The following is a 13,830-nucleotide window of genomic DNA, read 5'->3' on the forward strand; positions in this document are numbered from 1 at the left end:
CTTGGCACACTTTAATGCAATGAATTATGACAGAGCTCTTGAATCATTACCTTGATGAGTTGGGCTTCCATTTATGCATTCATTTCATTGTCCATTCAGTAATAATGAATTACTGTAACAAAAACTAGCTTACATCTGTTGAGAACTTACTTTGTGTCAATCTCTGAAGTAAATGCGTCAATAAGTTGTCTCATTATGGGGTAAGGGCTAGTATTATTCCATGGAATCTGAAACTCAAAAGTTAAATGCTTGCCCAGTGACAAACAGCCAGCAAAGGTAGCCGTTGAGATTCAAAGCCAGAACTCTGTGACTTAAGTTCTTTGCCACTATGATGCATTAAGCATCTACTTCTAGATCAACTACATGCTAATCCCTTTGAATCTGGAGCTGACTTAGTCATGTTTCTGCCTTCAGAGAGCTACCCAGTGGGGGAGATGGACATGTAACTATTAATTAAAATATAGCATGATAAGGAACTAGCAAAGGTTTGGTAAGAATCTAGACCGTAGATCGATGTATTAATAGTTTGCCAAGAGAGAGGGTAAGATGGGAAACAGGAATAGCAAGGAACTTGATGAACATTCCATGGTGAAATGTGGTCTGAGTCTTGAAGTATGAATAGGAGTTCATGAATAGGAGTTCATGAATATGAATATGAAAAGCAGGGTAAAGTCATTGATGATTCAAAATATAGTATATCCTATTCTTTGAACCTGGCACAATGGGTGTAATAAGAATAGTGGCCAAATATGATGGTGCCTGGGGCCTGTTTTTAGGAAGTTTTCATGCTAAAAAGCTTGAACTTCATTCATAGTAAATAGCAAACTTGGAATGATTTTGAGCAAGTAGTTTGAACATGTGAATAATAACAATAATACTAGATACCATTTATTGAGCACTTACTATGTGCTTAATCAAGATATACATAGCCGTTTTCTCTTCACAATAAGATTTTGTAGCAGACATTGTTATTCCTTCTTACAGATGAGTAAACTGAGGTACATATAAGAGGTTAAGCAGCTTCCCCAAGGTCATTGTGCCAGTAAGCATGGGAGCTGAGGTTCAGTTGCAGGCCTGAGTAATTACCACTTTCATAACCCCTTTGTTTCACTGATTCTACTACTTACAAGTCTCTCAGGGGCAGCTGGAGTTGGGATTAAAGAGCCCCAGGCTGGAGACAGGCAAGTGGTTGAGGGAGCAAAAATGAGACCAGACAGAGATGAAAAAGGACCAGAGTAGAGGATAGAAAGGAGGATAGAGAGGAAGTTTCTGGAAGGGAAAATAAGTCTTGGTGACCAATCAAATGGTCAAATACAAAGGCGGAAAGAGTCCTAGAGTCGAAGTTGACTCCCAGGTTTCTGACTGTGCTGCTGAAAAGACCCTTGCGGCTGAGACTGAGAACCCAGGAGAAGGGGCAGTTTGAAAGCTTGCTTCAGACAGGTTGAGTTGTGCCCATGGGACCTGTAGGTGTAAGTGTCCGGTGGGTGTTAGCTACCCAGATCTGGCCATCCTGCCAGCCAGGATGTGGAAACTGGAGACATGGTCTTGCCTTGAAGAAAGTATCAGTGGGTAGGAGACTTGGGTTCTAGTCCCAGCTGGGCCAGAAGTCATTTAACTCCTCCATTCGGACTTGGCTTCCTTGTCTATAACATTTAAGGGAGGAAGGAAATTACCTTGAAGGCCCCCTCTAGGCCAAAATTTAGTAATTCTGTGTTCCCAGTCAAGAAGAGAGCAAACACCTGTGGAAACAGATCCTGGAAGGCTGTCAGCTCGCAGGCTAGATGTTGAATAGCATTTCACACTCCACTGCAAATATCAAAACCTTCAGCAATATTCACAGAGCTCACTGCAGCAGGCTAATAATTATACTTCAGGAGGTGATTGTATGCTTTCCATATTTTTAGTCTAATGAGGGAGTAAACTCTGTGTGGTTAGTGAGGGGGCAAATCCCACCACATGCACATCTACATTTCTGAGGGAAAGAAAGGCGATGTCTCATTTCACGCCCCATGTTCCTGCTTTTCTGGAAGGCCCGTTATATGATGCCCTAATGCTCCTTGGCATCAAAACTCACTTTTCATTTCAAACTTTCATTGGCGGAATTGCTCAACCACTGGTAGAGATGGTTAGCAGTAGGTGAGGCTGATCTTTCCAGGCCATTGCAGGGCAGCCAGAGTTCCCTGGTGCCCAGTGTCCGCCCAGTGTATTTTGGACTCACAAGAATCCATAAAGCATGCACCATGCACCCCATGCAGTGAAAGACAATGGGCAAGAAAGCAGGCACTGTCAGGGAATGTGAATCAAGATCCAGTTTCAAGAGGATTTTATATCATTTTTATTAATAGCAAAACCATATTTATTATCCTTCTTTTATCTACTAATTCAATTGGAACCAAAACTAATAGATGACTAATTCAATTGCAACCAAAACTAAGAGTGTTTATGAACGTCAGGAAATTTTGGAATATAAAACATAGAGAGTATATGCTATATGTGTGCATGTATGTGTGTGTGTGTGTGTGTGTGTATATATATATATATATATGATTTTTATATTCAGCATGTTTATAAAGATGGCATAATTGCTGGAAAATGTATGGCCTTTGAAGGAGACAGAACTAGGTTGTCATCATTCTGGTTGATCTTGGGGAATGGAACTGGGTTCAAATAAGCCTTAGTAGCTGTGTCACCTCAGATGTGGTACCCACTCTCTCCAAGCCTTTGCTTCCCGAAATGGAGGTAGTACCCACCTGACAAGGTCCTTGTGAGATAACACATAGACACTCATGAGATAACACATAGACACTGAGCACAGTCCCTAGCATCTAGAAGTGCTCTCTAAACATTAGCTTTTCCAAGACATGAATAGCATATGTAAAGAATTAAGAAGAGCTTCTGGCACACAGTAGACTCAATAAATGGCCCCCCTAAGATCGCAACTATTGGCATTGTCAGTAAAGCCACTATTCGTAATAATAGTGGAACAGCTGTATTGAGCCCTGGCCTTAAAGTTATAAGACTGACATTCTGGTCTGGGCTCCTTCACTCATCTCCATGGCCCTGAACATAGCCCCTAATCTCTGTGGGCCTCAGCTTCTTCATCCATGGCCTATGGTGCTTCAAGGATGGGAAGACTGACATGTGGAGGCATCTGTTCCCCACAAAGCCCTGCACGAATGCTGTGGACATGATGGCAGTTACAGTTGGCATTTCCAATGGCTGATAAATAGATTCAGGGTTGGCCATTCCCCTTACCAAAACATTGGAAGAAGCTTTAGTTGTTGTTGTTGTTTCATGGAAGGCCTTGGGGAATTGTATTCATTTATAATCTAAGCAGGTGTAACTGGTCTTTGGACCCTGGACTACCTTTCTGGGCATAACCACAGCCTACCACGATTATCTGCTTGATCTGTTGTTTGCTGTCCCGGTGAGCCAGGGCTGCCCCTAGAGCTGCCTTTATCACACACGTGCCCCAGGGGGTCCTCAGTCCCAGCCTTTTCTGTGTCGTCCCAGAGCAACTCGCTCCTTCCTCTGCAAGAATCCTGAGCAGCTAGCTCAAAGCCCATGCTATAAAGATGAATCAGTACTCTTAAAACAAGACTTTGCACAGAGCAGATGCTCCTTAAAGATTAACTGTTTTAATTAGCAGGATGTAAAGAGCTTAGACAGTGCTTGGCACACAACAAGGGCAATAGAAGTGTTTGCTATTTTTATTATGACTGTTTATTTATTTAGTCAGTTAACAAATTTTTCCTGCATATCTTCTTGGTACCAGGCAGGGGATGAGGCACCAGAGAGAACACAACACTCTCTGCCCTCAAGGAGCTTGGAGTCAAGAGAAAAGGGAGACAACTAAGCAAAAATGCATGAGGAGATGAAGAGCATGGGGGAAATGAGGAAGCCCCTGTCTAGCCTGGGCAGGAGGGAGATGGTAAGGAAGTGATAATAGCAGAGGCCTATTCTGAGGAGTCCACTGTACCTGTGAAGAGCCTTGTCTGGCACATGGTAGGTTCCTGGAGGACGAAACCCTAGGGCTGCACCTTCTGTGAGTTGGGAAAGAGTGTCAGGAACAGAGACAGAGACAGGGTGTTCCAGGAACAGCACGCAGCATGGAGCCAGGGTGGCCATGGGCAAGCAGGGCGGCACAAGACAGCTTGGGGCCTCAGTGCTGGGCCGTGGATTTGAACTGCCCTCTGGGCCAGACTGGTCCCCAGCCCTAGTACCTTGTGTTCCACCAAAAATTAAAAATAGGAAAGATTCCAGGATCAAGTCAAATACATTTCCAAGCCATGCCTGCTACTGAGTTGGGCCCCTGTGAACATCACCAAAGCACATCAGCACACGAAAGGCTCTGAGGATGATGGTAGAACACAGCAATATTGATGTCATAATCCCTATGCCACCAAAATGATGTCATTGGCTGCTCAGAATCCCAGCACTTAGATGCGAGAGAACTACACAGGTTTAGAGCTGAAAGGACATGGATCCAGTGGCATTGCAAGGAACACAGTTTATGAAACAGCCACCGTGATGGGAAGATCTTTTAGCAGGGAATACCATCATCTGTGGCATGTCAGAAAACTGACTCTCTGGTCAGCAGTGAGAAGGACAGATTGGAGGTCTCTCTGGGTCCAGAGGCCCAGCTGGGAAGCTATGCTGCTCCTAGGGGACTAGAAGGGAAAACAAGCATCAGAACATGAGCAGCATGTGAGCAAAGCTGAGGAAGGGAGGGTACACGCGCTATTAGGAGTTAGAATCACGCAGAATTGGCAGCTGAATATCACTGTGACAGTCATGGGAATTCCCTGAACCTAGGAGTCAGGACCAAGAATTCTAGACTTGACCTCAGGGGTACTACTGGGTGGTTGAGGCAAGCTACTCTTCCTCCTCAGGCCCAGTGTCCAATTCTAATAAGGAGGTGTGGAGAACACGATGAGTTTCAAGGGACCCTTCAGCCCTGCGATGTTGACATCTCGAGATGCTGTGAGCTGTTTCCACCTCTGTTGCAAACATCAGTGAGCCAGACAAGCCCTATGGCATCAGGGTGAAAGAGCCAGTCCACACATTTATTAAGTGCCTTCTGTATACTGGGCTGAGCACCAGGTCCTGGGAGGGAAGGAAGGAGGGTGGAAGGGTGCACCAGGGCACCAATCCCCAGATAACTCAATTACTCCTGGCGGTTGCCCAGTACACGGGAAAGGACCCTGGAGTCAGAAAACCAAGAGGTGCTAATCCCAGCTCTGCTGTGCTAACTGGGTGACCTTGGCAAGTTCCTTACCCCTTGTATTCATTTATTGTGTCTGCAAAACAAATTACTACGAACTGAGTGGCCTGAAACAATAGAAGTTCATTTTCCCACAGTTGTGGAGGCTGAAAGTCCAATATCAAGGGGCCAGCAGGGCCATGTGCCCTCAGAAGCCACGGGAGGATTCTTTCTGCCTCTTTGAGCTTCCAGTAGCTCCAGGCGTTCCTTGGCTTGTGGCCGCATTGCCCTGATCTGCCTTTGTCTTCACATGGCCGTCTTCTCTGTGTCTCAGATCTTTCCTTTCTCTTATAAAGACATCAGTTGTTGGATTTAGGGCCCAATCTAAATCCAGGATGATTTTATCTTGAGATACTTGATTACATTTACAAAGACCTTATTTTCAAATATGGCCCTATTCACAGGTCCCAGGAGTTAGGACTTGAACATAGCTTTTAGGGGGCAATGATTCGGCCCACTACATCTCCAAATGCCTCTGCCTCCTCATCAGAAAAATGAAGATCATAGTAGCATTTATCCTGTTGGGTGGTTGGGAGAATTAAAGAGGTAATATAGTCCTTAACATGGCACCTGACAAATCACGGTTGCTATTGTTCAGATATGTGGTTCACACCTGTCCTTCCAGCTCTAAACCTGTGTAGTTCTCTCACGTCTAAGTGCTGGGATTCTGAACAGCCAATGACATCATTTTGGTGGCATAGGGATTATGATATCAATATTGTTGTGTTCTACCATCAGCTCCAAGTGTGTGGGGGAGGAGGGAATGTCACCTTCTCTAGGACTGCAGACATTTGTCGCTTGTCTGATCATGACAGCCAGGACAGGATCACTCTGCTGCTGCTTCTACCCTGAGTTCTGAATGGACTTGGGGCTGCCAGGCATGACAAGGTTTGATGGGGAACACCTCGGCACACACAGCCATTCTGCACTGCTGGGTGCACCCTGCGCTATTGGAGCTTGTGGGCTGGCCCAGCATGAAGGGACTCCTTTTCTCTCAAGCCCTCAGGACTGAGAAGAGGAACAGGCACACACTCTGGTGCAGGGAAGGAAGTCCCTGTAGGCTGAAGCCCAGCTTCGGGCTCAGTGGTGGGATCCAGGTGGGATTCGGAATAGCACAGATCAGTGCCCAGCATGTACTAGGAAAGCATTAAATATTCACTCATCCGATGCTTAATGAACAAGTGTGATCACTGACTTTGGAGTCAGGATGATCTATCACCGATAGGAAGAGGCAGACAAAAAGATGCTGAAAATACAAAACACACAGAATTTGGAGACTGATCGTTCATGAGGCTGAGGAGGATGGCATTTAGGAGGGTTCCCAGATTTCTGGTTTGGGTAACTGATGGACGATGGGGAGGCCAAGCATGGCAGAGGAAGCGGAGGTTGGAGTGATTTGACTTTTTTTGTTTTTGTTTTTGTTTTTATACTTTAAGTTTTAGGGTACATGTGCACATTGTGCAGGTTAGTTACATATGTATACATGTGCCATGCTGGTGCGCTGCACCCACTAACTCGTCATCTAGCATTGGGTATATCTCCCGATGCTATCCCTCCTCCCTCCCCACACCCCACAACAGTTCCCAGAGTATGATATTCCCCTTCCTGTGTCCATGTGATCTCATTGTTCAATTCCCACCTATGAGTGACAATATGCGGTGTTTGGTTTTTTGTTCTTGGGATAATTTACTGAGAATGATGATTTCCAATTTCATCCATGTCCCTACAAAGGACATGAACTCATCATTTTTTATGGCTGCATAGTATTCCATGGTGTGTATGTGCCACATTTTCTTAATCCAGTCTATCATTGTTGGACATTTGGGTTGGTTCCAAGTCTTTGCTATTGTGAATAATGCCGCAATAAACATATGTGTGCATGTGTCTTTATAGCAGCATGATTTATAGTCCTTTGGGTATATACCCAGTAATGGGATGGCTGGGTCAAATGGTATTTCTAGTTCTAGATCCCTGAGGAATCGCCACACTGACTTCCACAATGGTTGAACTAGTTTACAGTCCCACCAACAGTGTGAAAGTGTTCCTATTTCTCCACATCCTCTCCAGCACCTGTTGTTTCCTGACTTTTTAATGATTGCCATTCTAACTGGTGTGAGATGGTATTTCATTGTGGTTTGGATTTGCATTTCTCTGATGGCCAGTGATGATGAGCATTTTTTCATGTGTTTTTTGGCTGCATAAATGTCTTCTTTTGAGAAATGTCTGTTCATGTCCTTCGCCCACTTTTTGATGGGGTTGTTTGTTTTTTTCTTGTAAATTTGTTTGAGTTCATTGTAGATTCTGGATATTAGCCCTTTGTCAGATGAGTAGGTTGTGAAATTTTTCTCCCATTTTGTAGGTTGCCTGTTCACTCTGATGGTAGTTTCTTTTGCTGTGCAGAAGCTCTTTAGTTTAATTAGATCCCATTTGTCAATTTTGGCTTTTGTTGCCATTGCTTTTGCTGTTTTAGACATGAAGTCCTTGCCCTTGCCTATGTCCTGAATGGTAATTCCCAAGTTTTCTTCTAGGGTTTATATGGTTTTAGGTCTAACGTTTAAGTCTTTAATCCATCTTGAATTGATTTTTGTATAAGGTGTAAGGAAGGGATCCAGTTTCAGCTTTCTCCATATGGCTAGCCAGTTTTCCCAGCACCATTTATTAAATAGGGAATCCTTTCCCCATTGCTTGTTTTTCTCAGGTTTGTCAAAGATCAGATAGTTGTAGATATGCGGCATTATTTCTAAGGGCTCTGTTGTGTTCCATTGATCTATATCTCTGTTTTGGTACAAGTACCATGCTGTTTTGGTTACTGTAGTCTTGTAGTATAGTTTGAAGTCAGGTAGTGTGATGCCTCCAGCTTTGTTCTTTTGGCTTAGGATTGACTTGGCGATGCGGGCTCTTTTTTGGTTCCATATGAACTTTAAAGTAGTTTTTTCCAATTCTGTGAAGAAAGTCTTTGGTAGCTTGATGGGGATGGCATTGAATCTGTAAACTACCTTGGGCAGTATGGCCATTTTCACGATATTGATTCTTCCTACCCATGAGCATGGAATGTTCTTCCATTTCTTTGTATCCTCTTTTATTTCCTTGAGCAGTGGCTTGTAGTTCTCCTTGAAGAGGTCCTACACATCCCTTGTAAGTTGGATTCCTAGGTATTTTATTCTCTTTGAAGCAATTGTGAATGGGAGTTCACTCATGATTTGGCACTCTGTTTGTCTGTTGTTGGTGTGTAAGAATGCTTGTGATTTTTGTACATTGATTTTGTATCCTGAGACTTTGCTGAAGTTGCTTATCAGCTTAAGGAGATTTTGGGCTGAGACAATGGGGTTTTCTAGATATACAATCATGTCATCTGCAAACAGAGACAATTTGTCTTTCTCTTTTCCTAATTGAATACCCTTTATTTCCTTCTCCTGCCTAATTACCCTGGCCAGAACCTCCAACACTATGTTGAATAAGAGTGGTGAGAGAGGGCATCCCTGTCTTGTGCTAGTTTTCAAAGGAAATGCTTCCAGTTTTTGCCCATTCAGTATGATATTGGCTGTGGGTTTGTCATAGATAGCTCTTATTATTTTGAAATATGTCCCATCATTACCTAATTTATTGAGAGTTTTTAGCATGAAGGGTTGTTGAATTTTGTCAAAGGCCTTTTCTGCATCTATTGAGATAATCATGTGGTTTTTGTCTTTAGTTCTGTTTATATGCTGGATTACATTTATTGATTTGTGTATATTGAACCAGCCTTGCATCCCAGGGATGAAGCCCACTTGATCATGGTGGATAAGCTTTTTGATGTGCTGCTGGATTCGTTTTGCCAGTATTTTATTGAGGATTTTTGCATCAATGTTCATCAAGGATATTGGTCTAAAATTCTCTTTTTTGGTTGTGTCTCTGCCTGGCTTTGGTATCAGGATGATGCTGGCCTCATAAAATGAGTTAGGGAGGATTCCCTCTTTTTCTATTGATTGGAATAGTTTCAGAAGGAATGGTACCAGTTCCTCCTTGTACCTCTGGTAGAATTTGGCTGTGAATCCATCTGGTCCTGGACTCTTTTTGGTTGGTAAGCTATTGATTATTGCCACAACTTCAGCTCCTGTTATTGGTCTATTCAGAGATTCAACTTCTTCCTGGTTTAGTCTTGGGAGAGTGTATGTGTCCAGGAATTTATCCATTTCTTCTAGATTTTCTAGTTTATTTGCGTAGAGGTGTTTGTAGTATTCTCTGATGGTAGTTTGTATTTCTGTGGGATCAGTGGTGATATCCCCTTTATCATTTTTTATTGCATCTATTTGATTCTTCTCTTTTTTTCTTTATTAGTCTTGCTAGCAGTCTATCTATTTTGTTGATCCTTTCAAAAAACCAGCTCCTGGATTCATTAATTTTTTGAAGGGTTTTTTGTGTCTCTATTTCCTTCAGTTCTGCTCTGGTTTTAGTTATTTCTTGCCTTCTGCTAGCTTTTGAATGTGTTTGCTCTTGCTTCTGTAGTTCTTTTAATTGTGATGTTAGGGTGTCAATTTTGGATCTTTCCTGCTTTCTCTTGTGGGCATTTAGTGCTATAAATTTCCCTCTACACACTGCTTTGAATGTGTCCCAGAGATTCTGGTATGTTGTGTCTTTGTTCTCGTTGGTTTCAAAGAACATCTTTATTTCTGCCTTCATTTCGTTATGTACCCAGTAGTCATTCAGGAGCAGGTTGTTCAGTTTCCATGTAGTTGAGCAGTTTTGAGTGAGATTCTTAATCCTGAGTTCTAGTTTGATTGCACTGTGGTCTGAGAGATAGTTTGTTATAATTTCTGTTCTTTTACATTTGCTGAGGAGAGCTTTACTTCCAAGTATGTGGTCAATTTTGGAATAGGTGTGGTGTGGTGCTGAAAAAAATGTATATTCTGTTGATTTGGGGTGGAGAGTTCTGTAGATGTCTATTAGGTCCGCTTGGTGCAGAGCTGAGTTCAATTCCTGGGTATCCTTGTTGACTTTCTGTCTCGTTGATCTGTCTAATGTTGACAGTGGGGTGTTAAAGTCTCCCATTATTAATGTGTGGGAGTCTAAGTCTCTTTGTAGGTCACTCAGGACTTGCTTCATGAATCTTGGTGCTCCTGTATTGGTTGCATATATATTTAGAATAGTTAGCTCTTCTTGTTGAATTGATCCCTTTACCATTATGTAATGGTCTTCTTTGTCTCTTTTGATCTTTGTTGGTTTAAAGTCTGTTTTATCAGAGACTAGGATTGCAACCCCTGCCTTTTTTTGTTTTCCACTGGCTTGGTAGATCTTCCTCCATCCTTTTATTTTGAGCCTATGTGTGTCTCTGCACGTGAGATGGATTTCCTGAATACAGCACACTGATGGGTCTTGACTCTTTATCCAATTTGCCAGTCTGTGTCTTTTAATTGGAGCATTTAGTCCATTTACATTTAAAGTTAATATTGTTATGTGTGAATTTGATCCTGTCATGATGATGTTAGCTGGTTATTTTGCTCGTTAGTTGATGCAGTTTCTTCCTAGTCTTGATGGTCTTTACATTTTGGCATGATTTTGCAGTGGCTGGTACCGGTTGTTCCTTTCCATGTTTAGTTCTTCCTTCAGGAGCTCTTGTAAGGCAGGCCTGGTGGTGACACAATCTCTCAGCATTTGCTTGTCTGTAAAGGATTTTATTTCTCCTTCACTGATGAAGCTTAGTTTGGCTGGATATGAAATTCTGGGTTGAAAATTCTTTTCTTTAAGAATGTTGAATATTGGCCCCCACTCTCTTCTGGCTTGTAGGGTGTCTGCCGAGAGATCCGCTGTTAGTCTGATGGGCTTCCCTTTGAGGGTAACCCGACCTTTCTCTCTGGCTGCCCTTAACATTTTTTCCTTCATTTCAACTTTGGTGAATCTGACAATTATGTGTCTTGGAGTTGCTCTTCTCGAGGAGTATCTTGGTGGCATTCTCTGTATTTCCTGAATCTGAACGTTGGCCTGCCTTGCTAGATTGGGGAAGTTCTCCTGGATAATATCCTGCAGAGTGTTTTCCAACTTGGTTCCATTCTCCCCATCACTTTCAGGTACACCAATCAGACGTAGATTTGGTCTTTTCACATAGTCCCATATTTCTTGGAGGCTTTGCTCGTTTCTTTTTATTCTTTTTTCTCTAAACTTCCCTTCTCGCTTCATTTCATTCATTTCATCTTCCATTGCTGATACCCTTTTTCCAGTTGATCGCATCGGCTCCTGAGGCTTCTGCATTCTTCACGTAGTTCTCGAGCCTTGGTTTTCAGCTCCATCAGCTCCTTTAAGCACTCCTCTGTATTGGTTATTCTAGTTATACATTCTTCTACATTTTTTTCAAAGTTTTCAACTTCTTTGCCTTTGGTTTGAATGTCCTCCCATAGCTCAGAGTAATTTGATCGTCTGAAGCCTTCTCTCAGCTTGTCAAAGTCATTCTCCATCCAGCTTTGTTCCGTTGCTGGTGAGGAACTGCATTCCTTTGGAGGAGGAGAGGCGCTCTGCTTTTTAGAGTTTCCAGTTTTTCTGTTCTGTTTTTTCCCCATCTTTGTGGTTTTATCTACTTTTGGTCTTTGATGATGGTGATGTACAGATGGGTTTTTGGTGTGGATGTCCTTTCTGTTTATTAGTTTTCCTTCTAACAGACAGGACCCTCAGCTGCAGGTCTGTTGGAATACCCTGCCATGTGAGGTGTCAGTGTGCCCCTGCTGGGGGGTGCCTGCCAGTCAGGCTGCTCGGTGGTCAGGGGTCAGGCACCCACTTGAGGAGGCAGTCTGCCAGTTCTCAGATCTCCAGCTGCGTGCTGGGAGAACCACTGCTCTCTTCAAAGCTGTCAGACAGGGACATTTAAGTCTGCAGAGGTTACTACTGTCTTTTTGTTTGTCTGTGCCCTGCCCCCAGAGGTGGAGCCTACAGAGGCAGGCAGGCCTCCTTGAGCTGTGGTGGGCTCCGCCCAGTTGGAGCTTCCGGGCTGCTTTGTTTACCTAATCAAGCCTGGGCAATGGCGGGCGCCCCTCCCCCAGCCTCGCTGCCGCCTTGCAGTTTGATCTCAGACTGCTGTGCTAGCAATCAGCGAGACTCCGTGGGTGTAGGACCCTCCAAGTCAGGTGCGGGATATAATCTTGTGGTGCACCGTTTTTTAAGCCCGTCGGAAAAGCGCAGTATTTGGGTGGGAGTGACCCGATTTTCCAGGTGCCGTCCGTCACCCCTTTCTTTGACTCGGAAAGGGAACTCCCTGACCCCTTGCGCTTCCCAAGTGAGGCAATGCCTCGCCCTGCTTTGGCTCGCGCACTGTGCGCACACCCACTGACCTGCGCCCACTGTCTGGCACTCCCTAGTGAGATGAACCCGGTACCTCAGATGGAAATGCAGAAATCACCCGTCTTCTGCGTCGCTCACACTGGGAGCTGTTGACCGGAGCTGTTCCTATTCGGCCATCTTGGCTCCTCCCCCCGCCTTGGGCATTCTTAAGGATCATGATTTGACTGTTAGTAATGCCTAATGTTCATGGAGCACTCACTACGGGCCAGGCATCCTGCTAAACTCTTAGTATAGATTATCTTATTTAATCTACTTAATCCTCACAACAGCCCAATGAATAAACCATTATTATTATCTACATTCTACACAACTGAGGCAGAGAGAAGGTAAGTCACTTATCACTAACAGGTAACTCCAGCAGCACCAGTGGTCTTCCTGTTTCCCAGGGCACAATGTCAGTTCCTTTGTAAGGACCAAATAATCTAAGGGACATGTTCTCAAATTCCCAAGTGCACCATTCCACTATGTGGCACTGAGTATGTAGTTTGTGCTGAACGAAATGTTGAGACGAACCTTACTTCAAACAGGAATTCAGCAGACCTGTAAGGTGCATCTCAGCTTTGCATTTCCTGGCTGTGTGACCTCTTCATACTGCTGGCCCTCTCTGAACCTCCCCTGTAAAACATGTCCCCGGAGGCTGTTGTGAAGAGGAAAGGAGAGCCCGTGGGTGAAAGTGCACTTAGAAAATGTGAAGCAAATGGAGAATATCGCCAGGGGGCAGCTAGAATGTGGCTGCTGGTCAGATTCAAGTGTGTAGCTGCCCAGCCAGCGCCCCCAGGTCAACTCATCCTGGATCTTGTTTCCATGCCGAGTGAATGCCCATCTAGAAACTGAGTTGAGACAGCTTTAATCACAACAGTATGTGGCTCCCCGGGGCAGATTTCGGCTGCTCTGACAACTGTAAAATGGACTTATGCCTGCAAATTAATTTACTAGAAATAATGAACATTTCACAAAATGTTCCTGGAAGCCCACATAGACAATTAGACCCTACAATGCACTCCGGGCCTAGTGAGGTGGAGGTGAGGCACTGAGATAACCCACCACTCAGCCCCTTGGAGAGTGATCAGAGACAAGGACCCCAGGACAAATGCAGCACCCTGAAGAATAAGGGTCCACCACTCTTGGGCCTCCATCCCCTTCGCTGTATTTTTTCTATTGAGGTGAAATTCACATAAGATAAAATTAGCCATTTTAAAGTGAACAATTCAGTAGCATTCAGTACATTCACAATGTTTTATGAGCACCGCCTCTGTCTAGTT

The 13,830-nt window shown here is 43.9% G+C and overlaps 1 protein-coding gene across 7 annotated transcripts in view; it reads left to right on the forward strand.

Moving 5' to 3' along the window:
* Positions 1-13,830, forward strand: part of STK32B (serine/threonine kinase 32B) — a 481,604-nt gene that overhangs the window by 412,543 nt on the left and 55,231 nt on the right. The gene's annotated exons all lie outside the window — the stretch shown is intronic.

This window comes from Homo sapiens, chromosome 4, assembly GCF_000001405.40.
Source record: "Homo sapiens chromosome 4, GRCh38.p14 Primary Assembly".
NCBI lineage: Eukaryota > Metazoa > Chordata > Mammalia > Primates > Hominidae > Homo > Homo sapiens.